Below are 23634 nucleotides of genomic sequence, written 5' to 3' on the forward strand. Positions count from 1 at the left end.
ACTTTCTTGAATATAAAAAGTTGTGTGTGTGTGTATATATATATATATATATATAAAGAATATATGGCCTGGTGCAGTGGCTCACACCTATAATCCCAGCACTTTGGGAGGCTGATGCAGGTGGATCACCTGAGGTCGGGAGTTCAAGACCAGCCTGACCAACATGGAGAAACCCTCTCTACTAATAATACAAAATTAGCCAGGCGTGGTGGTGCATGCCTGTAATCCCAGCTACTTGGGAGGCTGAGACAGGAGAATCACCTGAACCTGGAAGGTGGAGGTTGCAGTGAGCCAAGATCCTGCCATTGCACTCCAGCCTGGGCCACAAGAGCGAAACTCTGTCTCAAAAAAGAAAAAAAAAATTAGCTTTGTGTGGCGGTGAGCGTCTGTAATCCCAGCTACTCAGGAGGCTGAGGCAGGACAATCACTTGAACTTGGGAGATGGAGGTTGCAGTGAGCCAAGATTGTGCCACTGCACTCCAGCCTGGGTGACAGAGTGAGACTTCATCTCCCCCCCCGCAAAAAAATAAAGCCATTGAGGCAAAATGTGAACTGGTAAACCTGGGTGTTCTTTGTACTATTCTTGCAACTTCTCTGTAAGTTTGAAATTATACAAAAATTAAGTTACAAAACACATTAAAAATGTCTGCTGTATTTATCTGCTTGACAGAAATAGATATGTAAGAATCACTTTAAGGCTAGAGCTTTCCCACTTGCTGGCTGCTTTTTTTTTGGAGACAGGGTCACACTTCGTCGCCTAGATTGTAGTGCAGTGGCATGATCTCGGCTCATCGCAACCTCCACCTCCAAGGCTTAGGCAGCCCTCTGACCGCCTAAGCATGTGTAGCTGGACTACACATGCACATCACCATGCCCAGCTTATTTTCTACCTTTTTAGTAGAGAGGAGGTCTTGGTATTGCCCAGGCTGGTCTCCAACCCTCAGGCTCAAGCAATCCCTCCCACCTCAGTCTCCTGAAGTACTGGGATTACAGGTGTGAGCCACCATGCCTGCCTGTTCTCCTGGACATGCAGCCAGCTAAGCTTGGCTCTGCAACAGCTCCTTGTCCCACTGGAGAAAAAGAGCCCACAGCTTTCCTCATATGCAAGGGCATGAACCAACCAAGTGCAGCCCAGCTCCTGTGAGACACACACACACGTGGTTAACTGACAGCGACAGAGAGCCTAAATAAAGCTCAGAGTCCAGGGTAGTCTACCCAGGTTGCAGCTGGTGAGCTCTGCCTCCGGTTAGGCTGAAGCATCCCAGTATCAATCCTCCCATACACATTTATTCACATTTGTTGAGATCTCCTATGTTCTAGGCATTGGGCTCAACATTGGACACAAAGACACCATTCATCCTAACTCCCACTGAAAGAAAGTCAACCTCTGATACACGATAATCCTGTTGCTACCTTCTGAACATGGGCAAGTTGGCCCAAATTGTATGTACCCAGCAGGGGCTGAAGACCCAGGGAAGCAGGGTGGAGCTGCCAAAGCAGCTTTCCAGGCTCATACTGCAGACCACTCTCAACACGTTCAGGCTTGCCCTTGCTCCTTTACTAAACTCTGGTGAACCCACTCCCCATAAACCAGATGCAGCAGCACCTGAATCCCAGACAAGTGCCAGCTGATCTGTTGCCTCGAGAGCTCCTGCCTTTCCTCTACCCACACACAACTGCAAAGATGACACAGGCAAGGCTGTTGTCCCAGATTTATTGAAAATAATACAGCACTACAGAAAAAATTCAAACAGGTCCCCGAGGCGTTTTGAAATTCATCCCAACTGTAGGCTGAGTGACCTGAAGGTTGGACAGACTGCCGAAGTCCTGGAACGAGAAAATGGATTCAGTGAGCAGTTACTGGTGAGATCTGTGAGTGGACCCCAGAAGAAAACACAGGCCCCTAGAGCCACAGCACTCTCAAGGGGGTCCAGAGGCGACCTGAAGGACCCTTTAAGAGCCAACAGGGTTCTCAATGCCTCCCACTTTTCCAGAGTGATCTTCCTTCAACACACACCTGACCATGTGGTATCCCCATTTACAACTCTATGACTTTTACCCAATGTACCATGCCATTTGTATCTGTTTTCACAACCCCTTCCTATCAATCACTCTAAAACACCGTTTCTCAATCTTGGCAACGTAGACATCCTGGGCTGGACATTCTTTGTTATAGGCAGCTGTACTGTGTATTGCAGAAAGTTTAGCAACATCCTTGGCCTCTACCCCTTAGAAGTTAGCAGGTATCCCCTGGCTATGAGAACGAAAAATGTGTCTGGACATTGCCAAATGTCCTCTAAAGCAAAACTCTGTCCCTTTGAGAATACACAGTGCCACTTGCTTTCCAGGACCAGCCCTGGGTAAGAGCTATTACTAATCTAATCAACATTTGTGAAGGGCCCAAGTACACAAGGCATCAAGCAGAAGGGAGGGAGGCAAGAGCAGACCCTGCCCTCAAACAAGTTCAGGCTGGTAGGCAGGGCAAGAAGCCAAGGGCCCAACTTATACCTGGAACTCCATGTCCTATTTGGTCCTCAGAAACCCATTTTAGTTTCAACAAAAATGCTGCATTCAGCGCAGTGGTTATTTCAGGAAGAAAAGACCCACAGCGGGGCTGTAGCTGTACTGGTGATGTTTTTCTGAAGCTGGGAAAGTACATGTGAGTTCATTTTGCTACTACCTTTTTGAGTGTCTTAAACATTTAATGACCATAAAAATAGGAAAAATGAAGTTGTTCAAAATCACCAACCGCCCATGAAGCCCATGCTTTCACCCAAGTATGCAAAAGGACTAAGATAAGCCATAGAAAAAACATCAAAGTGCAATGAAGATACTCGTGAACTACCTAAGTAGTGCCTTGTATGTACCTGGAAATGGACCAAAGCTCATTTCTGAGTGGTTAGCATGGAGACACCAAAGGAATGCCTTCACAGAAGAAAAGCAGGCAGATTCAGCCAGGGCTGACACAAAGGGGGCAACGTAAGCCAGCTATAAAACCAAGAACAGAAGCAGCCAAGAGAGAAAAGGTGTCCTGGAAGCCACTAGATTTGGGAATCATGATCTTGTGGCGAACTAACTCAATGCACACAACTTCCGCTACACCCCTTATGAAAGCAGTCCAGTTTAGTGGCTACAAGTTTAGATGGGATTCCCAACTCTGCCACTTACTAGCTGGGTGACCTTGGATAATAAGACCTACTGATGGTTTTTGACCAGGAAAATACCACTTTAGGAATCCAGCAAACACTTACCAAAAGCTTCAGCATTTCCTTAGTGTCAGGATCTACTTCAATAATCTCCTGATCCAAGGCTGAGACCTACAAGGAAACGAGGTAGGGTCAAAATACCAATCAATGAGATTATCACTCACCTCTCCTCCTCCTCTCCCCAGGTTCTTAAATATGGGGAAGAGGAGCTGCACAAGGATAGCATTCCTCTCACAAGGTGAGCAGTCTCTTACAGTATTACAGACCCCGATGACCTGTTCTTCTGGCCTTACCTTCCCATGCCCTCATTCAGTATTCAGAACACTTGAAGTCTGTGTTTACACCAAAGAATACTATATTAGGGGCAAACAATCGAGCCACGACAGCAGTCATCAAATCAACATTAAGGGCTCTCATGAAATATGGAATAGACTTAACTGGTTCCAGAAGAGCAGAATGGAGGCTAAGAAACTGGTAGGGGGCCTATGGGCACCCACAGCTGGTTATGGAATGTATGGATTAAAGGTCTCAGATTCAGCTGAGGTCCCTTTGGAAGCCAAGAACCCATAGCTTTATCATTTGAGGATTAGCCAGAAGCCCAAATATCCAGAAAGTTTACCTCAGGAACATAATTGTCTCTCCTTTCTCTCTCCTCCTCCTGCAGCTTGATGGAGATACCTCTTACTGGGCCTCTCTGAATTCGCTTCATCAGATGCGTGACATAACTACAAAGCACACACAGCCAAAGAGAACAGTGAGAAGACAAATCAACTCCCACCTGGTACTGAGCACATGTGCATATATAAATACCCGCTTTAGTTCTTTTCCACAGTGAGAAGGAAGAGGACTCACTATCCTGGGACCTCCTACACATAGAACCTCCACTGGCCTGAGCATTCCTTCCCCTTGGTTTCTCACTCTCTATTCAAACTCTCCTTCATGATGATCAAGCGCCCCACCCCCAACTCGCCCCGCCCCGCCCCGCAGTTTCACGACCCTTCACAGCCTTCATTTTCTTCCAATTTCAAATTCACATAACTTGGCAATTAATACGTTGACTTTGGCACTATTCTTCCAGGCCATATGCCTATAAATCTCTCGAACAGTAACTGCAACTGTGAAGTAAGCATTAGAAGTTGACATCCAGCCGGGCGAGGTGGCTCACGCCTGTAATCCCAGCAATTTGGGAGGCCGAGGCGGGCGGATCGCTTGAGGTCAGGTGTTCGAGACCAGCCTGGTCAACATTGTGAAACCCTGTTGTCTACTAAAAATACAAAAATTAGCCGAGTGTGGTAGCACGTGCCTCTAATCCCAGCTACTGGGAAGGCTGAGGCATGACAATCGCTTGAACCCGGGAGACGGAGGTTGCAGTGAGCCGAGATGGCGCCACTGCACTCTAGCCTGGGCGCCAGGGCAAGATTCCGTCTCAAAAAAAAAAGAAAAAAAAGAAAGAAAAAAGTTGACAACTAAAAGCAACGTAGCTTCAAAGCAAGAGGTCTGACGGTGGCTACCTTCGACCCAGGGTCACCGCGGCCAGTCATGACACAGGCCTAAGTTCACAACAGAAATCCTGCACACGCAGAGCTCTAGCCCTTCTCCGGGACACCAGGGAGTCTCAGGCTAACGAAACCACCAAGGCACCGTCTCTTCCCGAGTCGGAGGGCGGCAGAGCACACAAACAGATCGCGGAGCCCCGGAGGCCGAGGAAGGCCCGACTCACCCTGCTATCTTGTTGCGGAGCTTTTTGCTGGGGATAATGGCGATCTCCTCGCACACGCGCTTGTTCGTGTGGAAGTCGTTGCCCAGGCGCGTGTAGTACTTTTCTATGATGACCCGGGCCGCCTTCTTCACGGTTTTGGTGCGAACGCGGCCCTGCGGGTGGAGAGGACAGGATCACTCACGAGCCAGCGCAACCTTCTGGGAAGAGTGCGGCGCCGAGCCCCGGCCGGTGTGGTTGGGGACCGCCGGCTGCGCTGAGCCGGAGAGGGCCCGGCTAAACAGTGCCGGGCGCCGGGCTTAATGCGGAAGCCGCCGGCCCGTTGCGCTCCAGCCTGACAGGGCTCTGCGCCTTCCCGGCCCAGGGCCTCTCTGTGGGCTGAGGACCGCGGGAAGCTGCAGATGGGGGACGATTGTGGAGGATGGCGGCCTCGAGCCAAAACACCTACCATGTTGGCGGGTCCTTGGTAAAAGAGGAAACAGGAAGCACAGGCGAAGCCTGTTAAAGCTTAGGCCAGAAAGCCGCTTCCGCCCGGCCACGGTCGCTCTGAGCCTACTCGGGAGCCACACAGCGCCCCCTGGCGGAGTGGAGCGGGGGCGGCGGTGGCGCGCCCCTCCGGTGGGCAGGGTGTCTGTCCCGCCCCCGACGGCTCCTCCCTTTCCGCTCCCCGCTCCCCTCGGTTGACTTGGGCTCGCTTCTCTCCCCCATCTGATTTTTAATGGGACCGCCCGTGCGATGTGCTCTAGCGTAGCGTCCATCTCTTCCACACACGCCAGGGAGAGGAGAAGCATCCGGTCCTCGGGAGGACCGAGAAAAGAAGGCGATCCAGGGCCGTGGAACAATGAGGAAGTGGGGGATGGCGGCCGCCCAGGTCCCCCACTCAGTCCGCGGGCCGGAGACTTGTCAGGTAGAGACAGGGTGCGACTGGGCGAGACGTATCTCATTTCTTCCGGGCCTTTGCTCAAATGTCGCCTTATCAGAGGGCTTTCCCTTCAAACTTAGGTAAAATAACTCCCTCACTATCCCTGCTTATATTTCCTAGCACTTGCCGTGTGATTCGGCTTATTTTTCTCAACTAGGGGTGAGCTCCATGACAGTAATGGTCATTTTGTTTAGCTAATTCCCAGTGCTTGAACAGCGCCTAGCACGTAACAACCTCTAACATTGACGTGAAGGGCCCAGCTCACCAGCAGAGCTCCCAACACCTCAGGTACCTTCTCCATCCACTATCTTCAGGCTGTTCCTGCCGCACCCATCCTCAAACCAGGGCCTTCCGAAGCCACCAGCGCAGGCTGCCCCGATGGGCCGCAGCCTAGGTAGGGCCCTGCCCCCTTCTTCCAACTCTGCTCCCTGGGCTGACAGCAATCCTAGGCTCCCACCTGACAGGGGAAGGCTGAGCTGGCCAGGCTGGATGAGTTAAGCCCAGGGCTGTGCCTCATTCCTCAACGCACCTTGGGTACTCCAGTCGGACTCTCAACTGATTGGGGATGGAAACCTGAAGGACAGGAAACCCTGGCAGCAAAAAGTACCAATGGGACAAAAGAAAAGGCCAGAATCTCAGAACTGCGGGAGCAAACTTCCAGTCAAGCTGCTGTCAGGCCCGAAGTGAAAGATCAGGGTTTTTGTTTTTGTTTTTGTTTTTGAGACGGAGTCTTGCTGTCGCCCAGGCTGGAGTGCAGTGGCGCGATCTCGGCTCACTGCAACCTCTGCCTCCCAAGTTCAAGCGATTCTCCTGCCTCAGCCTCCCAAGTAGCTGGGATTACAGGCGTGCGCCACCACGCCCTGCTAATTTTTATATATATTTTTTTTTAGTAGAGATGGGGTTTTGCCATTTTGGCCAGGCTGGTCTCCAACTTCTGACCTCAGGTGATCCACCCGCCTTGTCCTCCCAAAGTGCTGGGATTACAGGAGTGAGCCATTGCACCCGGCCAGCCTTTTTTTTTTGAGATAGAGTCTTGCTCAGTTGTCCAGGCTTCAGTGAAGTGACATGGTAACAGCTCACTGCAGCCTCGATTTCCTGGGCTCACATGATCCTGCTGCCTCAGTCTCCCTAGTAGCTGGAACCACAGGCACACACCACCATGCCTTTTTTTTTTTTTGGTAGAAATGGGGTCTCCCATGTTGCTCAGGCTGGTCTCAAACCCCTGGGGCTCAAGCAATCCTCTTGCCTCAGCCTCCCACAGTGCTGATTGTAAGCGTGAGCCACTGTGCCCAGTCTGGCCTCTCCTTTATTTATTTATTTATTTAGAGACAGTCTCACTCTGTTGCCCAGGCTGGAGTGCAGTGGCATGGTCTTGGCTCACCGCAACCTCCACCTCCCGGGTTCAAGAGATTCTCCTGCCTGAGCCTCTTGGGTAGCTGGGATTAGAGGTGCCTGCAACTACCACCTGGCTAATTTTTTGTATTTTCAGTAGAGAAGGGGTTTCACTATGTTGGCCAGGCTGGTCTCAAAATCCTGACCTCGTGATCCGCCCACCTTGGCCTCCCAATGTGCTGGGATTACAGGCGTGAGCCACCGCGCCCGGCCAGGCCTCTCCTTTTGTGAGGAGACTCCCCCACCTTGCCCAATAGTTCTTGCACCTCTCTCAGAAGAGACAGCTTCAGTATGCAGGGTTCCCTCCACCTCAGACTAAATTGGAGGTTCCCAAAGAATCGGTCCAACAGCTGGGCCCAGGCCAACTCGACTGAAAAAAAAAAAAAAAAATCAGCAGACCTTGCCAGAAATCCTGTGAGCTCTGAGAAAGTTCCGTTGATAGGGCTCTCTGAACAGCAAAAACCCAATCACTCCCTCTCAGAAAGGAACTGCATCATCATAGGTGGGTCCAAGAGGATGAGCAGCCTCCGAAGAAGTAATAGGCCAAGACTTCCAGGAGAAGCTGAGAACAAGTGGCTTCTGCTGGCACGTGAGCAGCTGTGCCTCCAGCATTCTCTAAGCTGGGCCTGGAGGCTGTGAGGACCCCCGAGAAGCTAAGATATGAGGACTTTTTATATTTGGGCTAGAAGCACCCATCCACTGGAGAAGCATCTCCAAAGTATATTTGACGATGGAAGGGACCAAGAAGTACTCACAGGGCAGGTCTCCCACATGGTCCCACCATTATCCTGGGCCAGGATCTCCATCACAGAAATCCAAGGAAACAAGCTGTGGCTGTGCCATTACCCCCTTACTCCCTCCCGTTAGCCCCTTGCTCCCAGACCTCAAACACAGAGACAAAACCAGAACTCTGCTGCAACGTGTTTATTATGTGCCAAAAAAACTACACCACAGCTTACTCCACACATCTGTAGGAGAGTGCAGTCTTGCCTGCATATACTACAATGAGGTAGAGACTTCACACACAGCTTCACAAAACCCACAGAGTAGCTGGGATATGCAACAATGCAACGTCAGCTCAGCAGGAGGGAGGGGTTATGACACTGGTTCTTTGGCACACAGCTTCCCTAGGAGGGGCAAGTAGTTTTTGTGGGTTTTTTGTTTCTTTTTAAAAAAAAAAAAAAAAAAAAAAAGGAAAGAAAAAAAAGTCAAGTTTTCAAATTCCAGTGGCATTTCAGTCAACTGCAACTGTTATCTCATACATTCCTCAAATTAAAGATATAAGGGAAGGGTACTTGCCCCCTCTAAGAGAAAGGGCTCCTGTGAGCCTTCATCTGCCCCCACCGAAAAGCAGCCCTTTTTAGCTCAGTTACAAAAGAAAAAAGTCCTGTGACTTTGTGATTAAAAACTTCTATCAACCCCACCCCCCCACATAAGTGCAACTTAAGGAGGTGCAATAAACCATTTAAAACTATATACAGCAGCCGCTCAAACACCGTTTATCCGGTCCAGTTTCAAATAAAACAAAAAATTTTTTTTTTCTTGGTTGCAAATGCCTTGATTTGCAACTGTGAGAAACAGTGACCAGCAGTCCCCCAGACACAAATTTGCTATAATGTTAAAAGCTGCCAGGAAAGAAAAAATATCTTGTTCCAAACGACTTAAAAACTGTTTTAAGGAGTGTAAAAAGGAACCGGTAAAAACCCTCGAGCGTAAAATATGAAATATGATTTTGGTTTAAATGAAGAGCAAAGTCTCCTTATTGTTTACAGTAAAAAACACCAGCTGAACACTCAGTTTATGCCGTTCAGGTGGGGGTTAAATAAATGGAAAGGCACTGTATGGCAACTGCAAGAATGAAACCAATGAGACCTGCGCATCATCACCATCAGTATTGCAAGGAATGTAAAAAAGCGCTTTTAATAAATAAACCTAGGTGTAGGCATCCGTGTCAATACCTCAATACCTTCTGGACACGTAGTTTTTTTTTTTTTTTTTTTTTTCCCCGCTTTTCATCTGCAAAATGAGGAACTAAAATCTGGGAAAACTACAGAGTCGCTTGGAGGGTAAGCCAGAGGGTCCTTGCCCTTGGTACACCCCCTGAAAACAAAACCTGACAAAACTCAATGTGCATTAATTAGTGCAGAAACAAAGACAGATTCAGCAAGTGCAAAGGTGACTACAATTTTCCCTTGTCCTTGGGAAGCCAGCTCCCTGGTCGCCAGTGGCAGGGTGGTGCAGGCTGCTTGCCTGACCTGCCAGCTTTGGGCGCCACAGGCCACTGGGCAAGGCCAGCTCCTCTAGCTGGAATCTCGGTTCTTCTGGTTCCGCATCAGGGGGCTGTGGTGGCGCAGGCCCTCCATGCTGTGCCGCCAGTGCCAGCAGCTCCGGCAGAAGTATTTGAAGCAGACCTGGGTTGGGGGAACAAAAAGGAGGATGCCATGCCTGTGTCAGCACCAGACACAGGAGCTGTTGCACGAGCTGCTTGTTCTGTTTGGAGAAGGGTGGGAGACTCCCGATGGCCTCTGTGGGTTAGAAGAAATGGTCCCTAGGAATGCTCTCACCCCAACACAGAAGCCTGATTAACTATGGCAAACCCACCATCCTTGTTACAGGTCCCCTTACTTAAACATGTTGGGCTCGTAGTGTGTGCAGAGACCATGCTAGTTTCTCTTATCCCCTCTAACCATGACAGCTGCTCTCCTATTCCCCTGCCCTTCTCACCTCCTACAGAGTAGTTGTATCACATGGCTGCTAACGTGGAGAATGTATAAGGATACTGACTAAAAATTCTAATGCTAGGCAACATCCTGCTTTCTTCCCATTAAGTGAGGAGAGGTGACTGGGTTTCTCAGTCTAGTCCCATCTCTTGGTTGCTGTGTAACGTCAGGCAAGCCACTAATCTCTGAGCAATTATCTGACTATGGAGATTATCTGTGAAAGATCCAGATCCATAAAAGCCTCGTAGATGAGGCTGATCAGAGAGATACTTGGTCTCAGGCTTTAACTAACAATTCAAACTTAACTTCAAACTCTCACTTGAGAGCCTCAGTTTAACCATATTCAGAGACTCCAAATCTGATCAATGGCATCACTGCAACAAATTTTTAAACAAAATTTAAAAAGCACCCACTAAGCATGGAAGGACTGCTGCTGGTGTCCTAAGAGGTCCCAAACTTCCCCTAACACCTGTCAAAGGATGATACTGACTAGCAGCATTGACACCACTTGGATACTTGTTGGACACATGGAATCTCAGGGTCCGCCCCAAACCCACTGAATCAGAATCTAAGATCCTCAGGTGATGTGTCTGTAATTAAGGTTTGAGAAGCACTGCCAAACACATCCAGATCCACATTCCATCACCCAGGAACATTCAATAGAAAGCCACCTCGCTGCTTTCTGCCTGTCGCTGACACCTGTGGGTACAGCCCAGATGCAAATATCAAAGTCGTCCAGAAGTTCAGATGTAAAGGAGGACGAGGCATCCTCCTTTACAGAAAAATCAGCTTAGAAGGCTTCAGGGTTAGGCAGCTGAGCCTGGCTCCCACGTGCTGCTGACCACACCCAGCCAGGCTTCCATCATCTACAAAACCACCTCTCAGCAATAGTGGCATACTGCATAGCAATATCCCAGGCAAGAAAAAGACCAAAGTATAAAGACTCAATTCAACATATTTTCTTAAGAGTTCTGGATCAAGCTATCTAAAGTATGTCTGTCCCGGTCTGACCTTCAGCAAACATTACTGCTGCCTCCTCTATGCTCTCAGACACCACAGGGTACCTCAGAACTCCAACATTCAATGTCATGAACTTGGCATAACAATTTTTTTTTTTTGACACGGAGTCTCGCTCTGTCCCAGGCTGAAGTGCAGTGGCGTGATCTCGACTCACTGCAACCTCCGCCTCCTGGGTTCAAGCTATTCGCCTGCCTCAGCCTCCCAAGTAGCTGGGATTACAGGCGCCTGCCACCACGCCAGGCTAATTGTTGTATTTTTAATAGAGACGGGGTTTCACCATGTTGGCCAGGCTGGTCCTCCTGATCCGCCCACCTTGGCATCCCAAAGTGCTGGGATTACAGGTGTGAACCACCGCGCCCAGCCAACAATTTTTAATAGAGGGCAGGGACTTCATAGACATCGGACCCACCTGATCTCGACAGAAGAAAGGACCAGGCTGAGAACTGCAGATATGACACAGAGAATCTTCTAGGTAGGGGTCAATCTGAACCTGCACAAAGGCAAAATAAGATGATGAAGTGGCTCTTCTTACCAGGAGGCTCGATAGGCGATAGAAGAAGGGCACATTATTGGCCACACACAGGAATGCGGGATATTGGAATGCAGGATATTTGCCTGTTTTAAAGGAGGCTTGGAGAGAATTATGGGCCTGAAGTACAGAAAGGAGTTCTAGAGGACAGACTCATACACCATGCACAGTCAGGCTGGATGCCTCTGGGATTCAGGCAACCACACACCTTAATGCCTGGTCTTCTAGGCAAACTGTACCTCAGCCCTCTATCAATTAGCAGTATAGGCAAGTGTTCGGAGGATTCCCAAAAGGTTGGAAAATAGGAAGTCAGGCTACTGAGCAATGCCAAAGAAATACCACAGTGAGGGAAGGCACCCTACACACTGAAGAGGCTCAACAGTCCCAGTTCCCTTCCTCCTGGGCGTACAAAGACCAAGCCCACTCCCAAACCCTAACCTCAATGTTAATTCTCAGGAATTTGGCTCACTTCCCTAAACACACCCAGCACAAACAGCTTCAGGTCTCAGGCCTGCCCTGGGTAGTAACTGCCCAAACCCCTCTCATATACCCCAGAGTAAGGGCATAAACCAGCCAACTCACCTTCTTTGTGAACTTGGTGGTTTTGATCTCCACAAAAGCAGCGCTGACTGCTTTCAGGTAACTCCGTTGGTTATTGAAAGTCACACGACCAGAACCTAGGACAACAGACACAAGCTTCCCTTCTAACCAAATTCTCCCAAATGCTACTTTTTTTTTTTTTTTTTTTTTTTTTGAGATGGAGTCTCGCTCTTTCGCCCAGGCTGGTGTGCAGTGGCGCAATCTCTGCTCACTGCAAGCTCTGCCTCCCGGTTTCACGCCATTCTCCTGCCTCAGCCTCCCGAGTAGCTGGGACTACAGGCATCTGCCACCACACCCAGCTAATTTTTTGTATTTTTAGTAGAGATCGGGTTTCACCATTAGCCAGCATGGTCTTGATCTCCTGACCTTGTGACCCGCCCGCCTCAGCCTCCCAAAGTGCTGGGATTACAGGCGTGAGCCACCGAGCCTGCCCTAATGCTACTCTTTTAAAATGCAGGAAACCCTTTACGATACTAGTGCTGTCCGACAGAAATATAATGTGAGCTACTATGTAACTTTATTTATTTTTTGAGACAGGGTCTCCCTCTGTCACTCAGGCTGGAGTGTAATGGCGTGATCTCAGCTCACTGCAACCTCTGCATCCCAGGCTCAAACAATCTCCTGCCTCAGCCTCCCAAGTAGCTGGGACTACAAGCATGAGCCACCATGCCTGGCTAATTTTTGTATTTTTTTGTAGAGACAGGGTTTCACCATATTGTCCAGGCTGGTCTTGAACTCCTGGACTCAAACGATCTGCCCCACCTCGGCCTCCCAAAGTGCCAGGATTATAGGTATAAGCCATCATGGTCAGCCCTTATGTAACTTTAAATTTTCTAGTAGTCACACTGAAATTTTAAAACAGTGGTGACATTAATTTTAATAATATATTTTATTGGCCGGGCACGGTGGCTCACACCTGTAAACCCAGTGCTTTGGGAGGCCAAGGTGGGCGGATCATGAGGTCAAGAGATGGAGACCATCCTGGCTAACATGGTGAAACCCCGTCTCTACTAAAAATACAAAAATTAGCTGAGCGTGGTGGCGCACACCTGTAGTCCCAGCTACTCAGGAGGCTGAGGCAGGAGAATCACTTGAACCCAGGAGGCAGAGGTTGCAGTGAGCTGAGATAGCACCACTGCACTCCAGCACGGCAACAGAGTGAGACTCCATCTCAAAAAAAAAATTTTATTTAACCCTATATGTTAATAATATTATTTCCAAATGTGACAACAGCTGTGTTTCCAAAACTCAATGGGGCCACATTTAGCTGGTAGCTACCATATTCGTACCATATTTGACAGTGGAGATCATGTTAGCGTGAACCATTCAGGAATGGGGGAAGAATTTGCAGATCAAGATGGGAAGGAAAGATAAGGGACTCCTTCAGTGCAGGTAGAGCATAGGTTAAGGTTAAAGGATTCAGAGTGGAAGCCAAGATGCAGATAGAACACTTGTCTGAAGGGTAAGCCCAGCAGTTGAACTGAACCTCTCCTAGCCCTTAGGCACTCTGGAGACCTATTAAGAGAGCTGGAAGAAGCCCCATCCTGCCAAGTTCCTCCTCCGCTCCTGGGGCTTCTGAAGTCCCTGTTCTCAATCTGCTGCACAGTATTGGTGAGTACATGGTGCTCCTTCCTGACCAGATTCAGTGTGGGTGTGAAGACTAAGCATTTGGGGAGGTGGGTTAGCCACATGTTAATCACAGAGGTCAGGCTCTGCTCCACCTCCATACCTCATCATTGACATTTTGCCAGGACTGGCGAATTGACCTCCTTTCTCAGAGGAGCTGATCAAAACCTAGTGGTTAGGCCCACAGACTTCTGAGTTAGGAAAGCACAGGCCACACTCTGTTGCCTGACTCACTCAGAAAGTCCTCCTCCAGCCTGACCTGGTCTCTGACCTTAGACAATGCCAGAGCTTTTCAAGAACTTTTAATAAAAAACTCCAGGCAAGTTCAGAGAATTGCAGCCTTTTCATGAAATAGTACCTGTTGTCTGTTCCAAACTGGTTTCGCTGTGAACTCTGAGCTTCCAACAAAGTTCCTACCTCACTCTCACTTCTTATCACCTCCTGTAGTCTCCAATAGCTTTTTCTCCCACTGCGTGGGAGATGGTGGGTAGAGGGCTAGATACAGAAGGGCCAGTACTCGTGACTTGTCTAGAAAAAGATATTATGGTGCTGGTATATGCTGATCTGCAGACCTGGGTCAGGCCTCTCTCCTCACTCCCATGGGGAAGTATCACAATCTTGGTCTACTCCCAGGGGCCAACCAAGCTTTCGCACACAGAAGTGGGACACTTACCAATGGGATACTTGTGCTTATCTGTGTCAATCCCGGCATACACCACTCCACCAAATAGGTCGTTCAAGATGGCTGCCAGGGCCTCAGCATTTAGCATTCCATGCAGAGCACCGACAAACACCGTCCTGCTGGGGTCAAGCCTCTGAGATGGGCTCCGGACAAAGTTACTGTCGGCTAATACCCAGGGGATCACCTGCACCTGAAAACCACCCAAAGGTGTATCAGCCCTGGCAGAGAGCCACAGAGAGAGAGGTGCTTGCACGGCAAGGTACGTGCTCTGGAGATACTGAAGCTAAGCTAACGCCCTTACAGGGGTGAAAAGGTGCTGTTGCCCAATCTCAGGCACACAGGCGTCCAATAAACCACCCTGACTCCACCCCAACTGGAGTTGAATTTTACTGAGTCCATGTGTCCAGAATGGTAGAAGTGGACACAGTACTCACTCATGCTGGAGAGTAAGCAAAAAAGTACCACATGGCCAAACCCAGGAGCCCAGCATTCTATTTCAACCTCCAACTGTGTAGTTCCAACAAAGGGCTGTGGACACTGATGAAAAGGGCATAATCTGAAGTCCTCAAGAAAGGAAGGACTCACAGAGAAATTAAAGGCTAGGATCCTGAAGGACAGAGGGGTGGGAGTGCTTACGATATTTGTATGAGATGGTTACTGGCCCAACCTAGCCTTCAGAGGGTTTGTGCCAGAGCAGTGGAAATGACTGGCGAGAGGTTGGGTAGAAAGTCACATACAAGATCCCTGGAGTCTTAAAGGGCTGGGGCTGACCATGTCCTTTGCCTCTGAATCTCCTGAACCTGGAACAAAACCTTGTAGAGCAGGTGGAGGAGTCCAGAATGAAGTGAAGATCTAAAAATATGTCTTGAAGCAGGAAGAGATCTGAGGCAGAAACCAGCAAGGAGGCAAAAACAGTAGTTTCAAAGGACAGGTGATTAAGACTTGGACAAGGCTGGTGGCAACGAGCAGAGAACAGGCCAAGACCAAAGAGATTCTTCAACAGAAGAGTCTGCAGTACTCAGACAGCATAAGCAGGATGGGCAAGCAAGGAAGAATCAGGCCTGGTAGGTGCTGGGCCTACACGGTCTTGGGATGAGAGGACCTGGCAGAAGTTACAAGAGGGGAGCCAATTTCACTGGAAGATGAAAAAGCCAATTTTGCCCACAAAAGAGTTTGGGATTACAGGACATCCCGAAGAAGGATCCCACAGGAAGGTGAGGCTCAGGTAGGACATGAGGCTAGAAAGGTGAATCTGGGTCTAAAGGTGAGAGAAGCCACAAAGTGAGTCATTTATCTGAACTAGAAAAGAAGAAGGGAGTCAAAGATTGGCTATATTGGCTATGTTGGTGCTGGCGGGGAGAGGAACACAAAGGAAAAAGAAAAGTAGAGAGGAAGGAGAACTGCATCAGCCTATAGCCAGTGAATCAAAGAAAGATTAAATCCCTGTAAGGTGATGGGAGGGAATGGGAGACAGGATGGTGTCTACAGGGGCACTGAGGAGGAAGGGGAAGGGCTCTGTGATATGCATATGGCCATCTCTGGTTGTGAAAGCAGGAGGGGAGGAAAAAGGAGCATGTTAATTAAGTCCTAGAACATACTAAGGTGGGAAGACTACACAAGCTCCAGAGAATAAAGAAGCAGAGAAGGTAGGGAAGCTGTGGGTCACTGTGGGCAGCCAGAGGATGAGCCTGCCCTCTCTCTAACACAGAACAAGAGCCAGCTTTGTTACATGGATTTATTTTAAATCTAATGTGACCATCCCAATAAAATAGGCATTTCTCCTCTTACCCTATAGATTTTTTTAGAGAAGCTTTAAGGTTTACAGTAAATCTGAGCAGAAAGTACAGGGATTCTCCAAATACTCTCTGCCCCCACACTTGCGTGACTTCCCCACTATCAGGATCCCGCATGAGAGTGGAACATTTTTTTATACTGACCCATCATCCCCACCGAAAGTCCATGGTTTGCATCAGAGTTCACTCCTGGTGTTTCTTTTACCTTCTATGGGTTTGGACCAAAGTATAATGACATGTATCCACCATATACAGAATAGTTTCACTGCCCTAAAAATCCTCTGTGCTATGTCTCTTCATCCCTTCCTGCTAAACCCCTGGCAACCACTGATCTTTTTTACTAAAATAGGCATTTTAGTTTCCCATCTTATAGAAGAGAAGAGGAAACAAAGTTTCAGAGATATTAAATATCTAGTCCAATGTCACAAAAGTTGTGTGCTCTCAAATCCGATTTTACCACCGCACTGATTCCTGAGCTCAAAACTTGCTTTGACAAGTGGTTCTCAAACACTACCCACTAGAACCACCTGGGGATCTTTATTCAGTTGGAGATTCCTAAATTCCACCCAGAGTGATTCAGTAAGTCTGGGATAAGGCCCAAGAATGTGCAATGAGATCCCCAGGTGAGATAAACTCGTTAGAGACCCATGCTGCCAAGGATACATAAGGCTGATATTAGAAAAAGCGTAGGAAGAGAGAATCTTATGGGGAAAACCCACAAAACTAAATAAAGCCCTGAATAAGAATGAAGAAGTGACCCACAGGTGGGTGTGGGCTAAAGAGGAATTCACCCCCACAGACTGGGAGGTCACAAGGCACAGGAAGGGCAGGACCAGGGAAAAACAGCTGTAGGTTTATCAGTTAAGTCCAAGTAGAGAAGTTTGCTGTTCTCAATTTCATTTCTAAGACAAGAGGTTTGAAACCAAAGTGTTGGCTACAAGAAAGAAGAGCAGAATAAAGACGGGCAGACAGTTTGATTACCATGGGCAGGCATGCGCATGTGTGCATGCACACACCCCATTAAGTCCCAAAGGTTGCTTTTTTTTTTTTTTAATGTAATTGAGAGGATACTGCTATTTTATTGTGGGACAAGAAGAGCCTTCTTGCCTCAGCAGGAATACTCCTTGCCTGCAGCCTGCCTATCCACCTACCACAAGAAAATCCAGTGCCTCAATATTCCAAGACCCTCGATCCAGAAAGGACATCACGCTAACTCACCTCCTTGCAGCGCATCCTTCGGCTGGACATCTTGAAATAATATTCACTCAGGCCATCTGGGCTCAGCGGGTCATGAGAGCAAGCCTGAAGCAAGGATCGGACAGACTTCTCTAGTTCGAAGACCAGATACACATACCCTATTCCCAATGAGAGGAAAAATCGCATTAATATCCCTTAGGTGGCCACTCCTCAGCCTTGGCTTTGCAGCAGGGCGTTTCTTCCAAGAAAGAAGGTCTTGTGTATAAGATACATTTTTGTTTTACTCCTGAAAAGTCGTGTTGAGTGGAAGCATTTGCTATGCAGATGCCCTGGGTTGTGGGCCTCCCTCCCACCCTGGTGAAGGAAAGGACTGGCAAGCTGAGACAGAGGATCCCACCATTACCACAGCTCTCTATGCAAGAACACAGAGCATGTTCAGGTCAGCAGAGCCAGGCTTTCCTGGTGGCAGGAAAGATGGCAGGTATTGCTTTAAACACCTACTTAAACCATTAGTTCAGTTCAATGAAGATGGGGCAGGGTGAAAATAGCACCTGCTCCTTTCTACAGGGAAGGGATCTCATTTCAGACCAGTGAGGAATCAGATGCTTGGTCCTCATTCCTGCCAACTCCAAAGGGACTTCAGAATTAGGTCAGGCAACAACGTAACTGGGCAGGACAGGCAGGCAAGGGAAAGCTTTTCAAACGCCTTATTTTGAGAGGAAAGGTGCTGCTTGGGTTCAGGTTTAGAGAGAAGTGTACAAGGAAGGGGTTTCAGAGGCAACTCCCACTGCTGTGTAAGTCTGGACAGATGGAACATTAGCTCAGAAGAAACAGAGGGACATGTTAGGTTGAAGAGAAAGTGCTGACAGATGGCAGGTCTGTGCCCTGGAGTGCCCACCATGTTACCAACATGCAGCTGTGACATCCCAGCACCCCTAGGTGCAGTTATGTACTAGGGAAGGGAAAAAAAAGCTCCTACCATGTCTTTATTACCTTTAGGCATATTACCTTTGGGAGGACACCGGGGATGCTTGCCATCCTTACCAGGCCACTCCACACTCAAAGAGCCAAAAACACGGAAGGTGTTAACTAATCCAGCTGCAAAGAGACAGAAAAGAATGGCAGAAGCTGAGGAACCATCTTTCCCAGTAAAGACACAAACACAGAATCACCAGCATTCTCCTCCCTGGCTCATCCCCACTGACAAACAACTCAGAAACGAATGCTGATCTCCGGTGTAAGCTCCCGACATAAGGAGCACTATGGGGGTCTATGAAATGCACCTCTCCCCTCAGACACTCATGTAATACCCTGAGCTCAGGCAGGGCATTCAGCCCCTGGCCTCAATTCCAAGTTTCATGCTCCTGAAAGACATGCCCCACCCTTCAACTCTTAAAGCAGGTCTTAGAGACAGCTCACCTTCTGTAATATCCCAAGGAACACCTCCTAGAAACACCTTGCAAGAGTAGATGGGGTTCTTATAGTTCCGGGGAGGAAGCTGGCCACTCCAGGTACAGGTGGCTTCATTCACAGCTTTGGTAGATGGCAAAGAGATAAACAGGGGAGGTTAGAGAATCAACAAAGCCACACTCTTCCCTGGGGTGAACTTGTCCAGTAAGAACCTGACTGGCCACAATCCTTGCCCAGATGCCTGAGAGAATATCCATGATTATTCTGAAAAGCAAGAAATCTATGTCTCACCAATCCACTCAGTCAAGTATGATAATCCTACTTTGCTAATTCTGTCCCCACTAAAATTGAAAGGAATACCAAACCAGATGTGTAGGGTAAAAATTTACACCCCATGTTATTTTCAAACATTCAACTAATATGCTAACCACAAAGCAGTTTTATCCTGTTATTGCTTACAGTACTAATTCATAATTACTTGAAAATAAACATAGCAATACAACATCTTGCAGGCTTACTGGTACAAATGGGCCTTCTCCCCAATGTTCAAATGAGAAACATTCTATTCTGTTTCCTTGTCTTGGCTCTGAACTCATGAATCACAGAAGTTAGGACACTGCCAATAAAAACCAGCACTGGCAACCCAGTAAGACAAGAATGTCACAACTGTTCCAAGCCAGACTCATCTTTATAGCACCCAAATAGACAATGGGCCTTCCTTGATGCCAGCATGGTAACGTAATGAATCAGTCTTCAATCCTGTCCCCACTGTTTGTACCTTTCCAAATCAGAGACTGACCTTAGTGAGGACTAGCTAGTTCTTGCCCATTTATTTCACCCTCCTCTTTCAGCAAAGAGGCAGACAGCCAATGAAAGGAACTATCATTTTCATTCAGGACAAAGATGTGGAAGGATATTTCCTAAAAGGAATAGGCCCAACGTGTTGCTACAGCAAGAAACTGGGCAATGTCAGCAATCTTTTACGACAAAAACAGAATATAATGGTCTCATCCAAAAGCATGGTAATGTCATTTCACAGGAAAACAATGGCACCAGAGAAAGTACAAAGATGGGTTGCCAAAATCATTAGGTGAACAGGGCACAGCACTATCAGAGGAGAATGAGATCCAGCCCAACTCTGTGAGCAAACAGACACACTGAAGCCTATGGAAACAAATGGAATGCAGAAACTAACACTAACTTAGTCATCAAATTCAGGACCTCTGAAGAGCCAGTGGTTAATGAATATCTCCCTGAAGCAGTACTAGACAAAGATGAAAAACACATTTAATACATATTTAGGATAATTTATTTTTTAAACCTTTTAAAATATATAGAGATGGGGTCTTGCTATGTTTCCCAGGCTGGGCAACTCCTCGGCTCAAGCCATCCTGCTGCCTCTGCTTAAGTGCTGAGCCACCCAGGCCAGCCTAAGATTAAATTTAAATGTCAGAACCTTAAGGATTCCTAAGAGACCAGGACATCTGGTGACACTCCTCACTTTAGAGGTTGACAAATGGACCCCTCCTTCCCCAGTGCATCCCTGACTATACCAATCAGAAAGCCTCAGGGAAGAAAGCTCCAGCATGAGTTGTGTCTGATGGTCTTTGAATTAGAATGTGGAGAGGGTAGACAAAATTCTGGATATCCCTTCCAGAGTTTCTCTTGAGGACATCCACCCGTGGAAAAAGTAAAAGCAAGAGCAGCACACAGCCAGTCTCCACGGAACGGCACAAGTGAGAGATGGAGCCAGCTCCTTGTGCTGTGGCACATGCATGTGCCAGATAACCTGCCTCTTTCCTCTCCACTCAGCCTCAAGAAGTTCCTGAGTCTGTTCCCATTAGTATTTACTCCACAGAAAGATAATTCTTTGCAGATCTGGAGACTTCACCATGCAACCAAGCCTCCTCTAGACAGTTCACAAGTGTGTGAACTAAGGTCACTTCCTCTCTGCTCCCAAAATGAGGCCTCAGGCCTCACACATGCTCAAGGCACACTCACCTGCAGCTTGTCGGTGCAGCCTGGCCTCTCTCTCTATGCTGAAGGGGTCTTTGGGAGCTTCGAGGAGGTCCCAGGATGGCCACACAGAAGCTCCTGGCCATCTCTTTGAAGCACTGGTTGGGGAGGGAGTGACTGCAGCAAGAGCAGCTTGCTCTTGGTCCATCCGAGACCCTACCCCCATCTTTAAAGGGTCTCTGGGACCACCCCCTGACAGAGACAGGAAGGGCAGAGGTGGAGAAATGCGAAGGCTTGACTAGGGGAGGAAAAAGGAAGACAGGGTTTTAAAGGCTAGTTTTGTTATAAAGTAATAATCACATTATAGAAATTATTAAAAACATCCAATAGACATTTAGCATTTGATATATATTCTTTTAGACTTTCTTCCTGAGCAATTTTGATTAGTTCTAGTTATACTATAATTTAAACAAATGCTCCTTCTCTCCTCATTCAACTTTTCCATATTGCCAGTCTTTATAACCATTTAAAATGCATTTATCATATTCTATTTAGGGAACAAGGTACATCTCACTGACCCATACTCTTCCTGTTATATATATACTTTCCAAGTTTTCAGAACCATAAATAAAAATTAAGATGTAGCTTCTTCATATTTTGTGTTTTCTTTGGTCAGATTCCTAGAAAGCCGAATGCCAAAAATGCTATCTATGAGAGCTCTGCATTGTATCATAAATGTATCAGAACACCATAAGCTGTGTCAAACCTTTAAATTCTAATTTACGTGTGTGAAATGATACATTATCAAAATAACTCGTTGACAGAATATTTTAAAATCCCCAAATATTAATCAGTCATGAGATAAATTTCCAAGACTGAGTCCAATCTAAGTAATATAGACAGAACTACCAGCACTGTATCTGACCCCATTTTACAGAAGAGGTAACTGCAGCCCAGAGAAGCAAAGAGACCCGCATGTGACTGCCCTTTTAGAAATGCAGCCTTAACAGATAAAACCAATGGTCAGTGAGAACACCATCGCCAACTTCCATATTCTAGGACAGGCTGACAGGCGATCACAACCAAAGTTGCCAGTCCTGGGTATGGGGAAGAGAAGAAGGTGGTAAAATAAGTAATTCTATTCACTGCACATTCAGCTCGGGAGATTTGGCAACAAAAATGCTTATAAGGCATCTGAAACTGTATTCTTATTTTGGGGTAATTTCTCACTGCCAATCCCACCTGTATTTACTTCTACTATCCCCTATCTATATTATCTGTACTAATCTATCTATAATATCCCCTACCTATTCTAATTCATTTGCCAACTCCACTTAGCATGAAGACCACACGCATCATACATGGCTGTAGATAAGGAACGTGAAATGCAAAAATTAACTGAGGCAATGTTTCATAGATTCATCATGGCATGAATTGAAAGCTGACACGGGTCAGTGGAAAAAATACAGGAGCTACAGTCAGATCTGGATTAAAATCCTATCTCTGCTAATTACTACTTAAAAATTTTTTACGTTATTACTTAATTGTGAGATATCATACATCAAAGTACATAAATGACACTGTTTAAGGGCTAAAGAAAGCACCCCGTGTAGGTAAAGAAACAGAACACTGCCAGGGCCCTCACGTTTACTTTTGAAATTAAGTGTTTTCCAGTACTCTTGGAGTAGCTAGTAAAATGAGAGTCCTGAGCTCAGGTCCTGCAATGTATTGCTCAATGGGTCTTCAAAGCATCCTCTATCCTGTTAAGGATGAGAACTCTACAAATGTCCACAATAATCTCCACTCCTCCCCTCATCCCATCTCCCAGCCTGCATTCCAGGGGACAGGCATCCCATAGATATTGTACCCTCCTTCCCCTTGGACACACACAGGCAACTCCACCCACAACTCCCCTTTCCCAAATGAGTTACATACAATCAAATCTGAGAGATGATCTGATCCAGAGCTGAAGCCACTGGTGTCTGAGTCAGAGGGGCTGCTAGATCGAGAGTCCAGGATGGGCCGGGTGTCCAGGCGTGATCCTCTAACTGAGGGTGCTGGAAACTTGTCCACCAAGTCAGACCCAAGGGGATCCAGAGGCAGGAAGCTCAAGGGGGGTTTTCCTAGGACATTTCCCAGTGGGTTATGGAGCATGCTCAGTACTAGGAGGACAAAAAAGGAAACCTCATGACCTCTTAGTTTTCTTTGCAGCCAACAGCCTCTTTCTTCTCCTACAGCCACCCAACAAGAGATACCAAAGGCAAGACAACTAAAAGCATGCCAGCAAAACACAATATAATGAACAGATATATATCCAGCTCTGAGACCTGGCCGCAAGGGCCTTGTTAGAGGAAGTTACAAGCTGACTGAAGACCAGAGTTCCTGCTGTTACAATAGCAGCAAAACTGCTGGGTTATACTACCCAGGCTTAAAAGGTCAATGCCAGTACTTGGGAAACTGTCACTGGGGTCCCTGGTCACAGCTGCTATTAATGCCTGGATACACCTACAGCACAGTTAGAAATCCCAAACCATACTTCATCTTTACTGCCTGACGATTTGTTTATTAGAAGAATTCTCACCTTTCTAATGCTATAATATAGAATTTCAGGCCACACCCCAGAAATCTGGTATAGCATAAGCATACCACCTCATGTGAGAGGTTCACTTATGCAAACTTCTAGCATATACAGATTCTCTTCAATGTACCCCTGAACTTGAAATGTTTAGGATGGAAGCAGAATGACATGGTTAAGCCCATTCTTTGACTTAAACTTAGGATTAAACCCTGTGTCTGACACCTCTTGTATATGTCTGTGAGCTCTGGGAAGCTCACTTAGCTTCTCTGACCCTCTGTTTTCTCAC

General features: G+C 47.4%; 2 protein-coding genes across 38 annotated transcripts in view, besides 3 other annotated features; both read right to left on the reverse strand.

Moving 5' to 3' along the window:
* On the reverse strand, nucleotides 1696-5403 carry RPS17 (ribosomal protein S17). 3 transcript variants are annotated; one of them, NR_111944.3, is made up of 6 exons: nucleotides 5372-5403; nucleotides 4927-5078; nucleotides 3826-3931; nucleotides 3252-3317; nucleotides 2868-2988; nucleotides 1696-1827 (listed from the first exon to the last, which is right to left on the reverse strand). NR_111944.3 is itself a non-coding variant. In NM_001021.6 (5 exons), exons 1-5 carry the CDS (start codon nucleotides 5372-5374, stop codon nucleotides 1747-1749), a joined length of 408 nt encoding a protein of 135 aa, NP_001012.1. In that variant the 5' UTR covers nucleotides 5375-5403; the 3' UTR covers nucleotides 1696-1746. The 3 variants fall into 3 exon arrangements, 1 of the variants encoding a protein (NP_001012.1); NM_001021.6 differs by lacking the exon at nucleotides 2868-2988; NR_111943.2 differs by lacking the exon at nucleotides 2868-2988 and having other exon boundaries at nucleotides 4927-5403.
* Nucleotides 5410-5529: a silencer, noted in NCBI's record as "silent region_6748". NCBI's record gives its function as "represses an Ori minimal core promoter by ATAC-STARR-seq in GM12878 lymphoblastoid cells {active_cell/tissue: GM12878}" and the evidence as "EXISTENCE:reporter gene assay evidence [ECO:0000049][PMID:35858748]".
* Nucleotides 5540-5639: a silencer, noted in NCBI's record as "silent region_6749". NCBI's record gives its function as "represses an Ori minimal core promoter by ATAC-STARR-seq in GM12878 lymphoblastoid cells {active_cell/tissue: GM12878}" and the evidence as "EXISTENCE:reporter gene assay evidence [ECO:0000049][PMID:35858748]".
* Nucleotides 5759-6260: an enhancer, noted in NCBI's record as "H3K4me1 hESC enhancer chr15:82825221-82825722 (GRCh37/hg19 assembly coordinates)". NCBI's record gives its function as "activates a minimal SCP1, AML or CMV promoter by ChIP-STARR-seq in primed H9 embryonic stem cells {active_cell/tissue: H9 hESC(primed)}" and the evidence as "EXISTENCE:reporter gene assay evidence [ECO:0000049][PMID:30033119]".
* Nucleotides 8147-23634, reverse strand: part of CPEB1 (cytoplasmic polyadenylation element binding protein 1) — a 105595-nt gene continuing 90107 nt past the window's right edge. For 26 of the 35 annotated variants that reach the window (NM_001365245.1, NM_001365246.1, NM_001365240.1 and 23 more), the window contains 9 exons: nucleotides 22706-22932; nucleotides 20816-21068; nucleotides 18824-18937; nucleotides 18413-18502; nucleotides 17426-17562; nucleotides 14406-14604; nucleotides 12089-12183; nucleotides 11387-11467; nucleotides 8147-9648 (listed from right to left, as the gene is read on the reverse strand). In NM_001365245.1, coding sequence (NP_001352174.1) covers nucleotides 9538-9648; nucleotides 11387-11467; nucleotides 12089-12183; nucleotides 14406-14604; nucleotides 17426-17562; nucleotides 18413-18502; nucleotides 18824-18937; nucleotides 20816-21068; nucleotides 22706-22932 — 1307 coding nt within the window. In that variant the 3' untranslated portion in view covers nucleotides 8147-9537. Of the gene's footprint in view, nucleotides 9649-11386; nucleotides 11468-12088; nucleotides 12184-14405; nucleotides 14605-17425; nucleotides 17563-18397; nucleotides 18503-18823; nucleotides 18938-20815; nucleotides 21069-22705; nucleotides 22933-23634 lie in introns of all 35 variants that reach the window. The other 9 variants (NM_001365243.1, NM_001387068.1, NM_001387061.1 and 6 more) reach the window with 3 other exon arrangements.

The sequence above is a fragment of the Homo sapiens genome, chromosome 15 (assembly GCF_000001405.40).
Source record: "Homo sapiens chromosome 15, GRCh38.p14 Primary Assembly".
Classification (NCBI taxonomy): domain Eukaryota; kingdom Metazoa; phylum Chordata; class Mammalia; order Primates; family Hominidae; genus Homo; species Homo sapiens.

What these genes read in the sequence shown, in the direction of transcription:
- RPS17 (NM_001021.6), bottom strand. An exon ending in CTCCGCAACAAGATAGCAGG is followed by an intron (nt 3,932 to 4,926) that starts GTGAGTCGGGCC and finishes TGTGCTTTGTAG; the next exon opens with TTATGTCACGCATCTGATGA. An exon ending in GAGACAATTATGTTCCTGAG is followed by an intron (nt 3,318 to 3,825) that starts GTAAACTTTCTG and finishes GTTTCCTTGTAG; the next exon opens with GTCTCAGCCTTGGATCAGGA.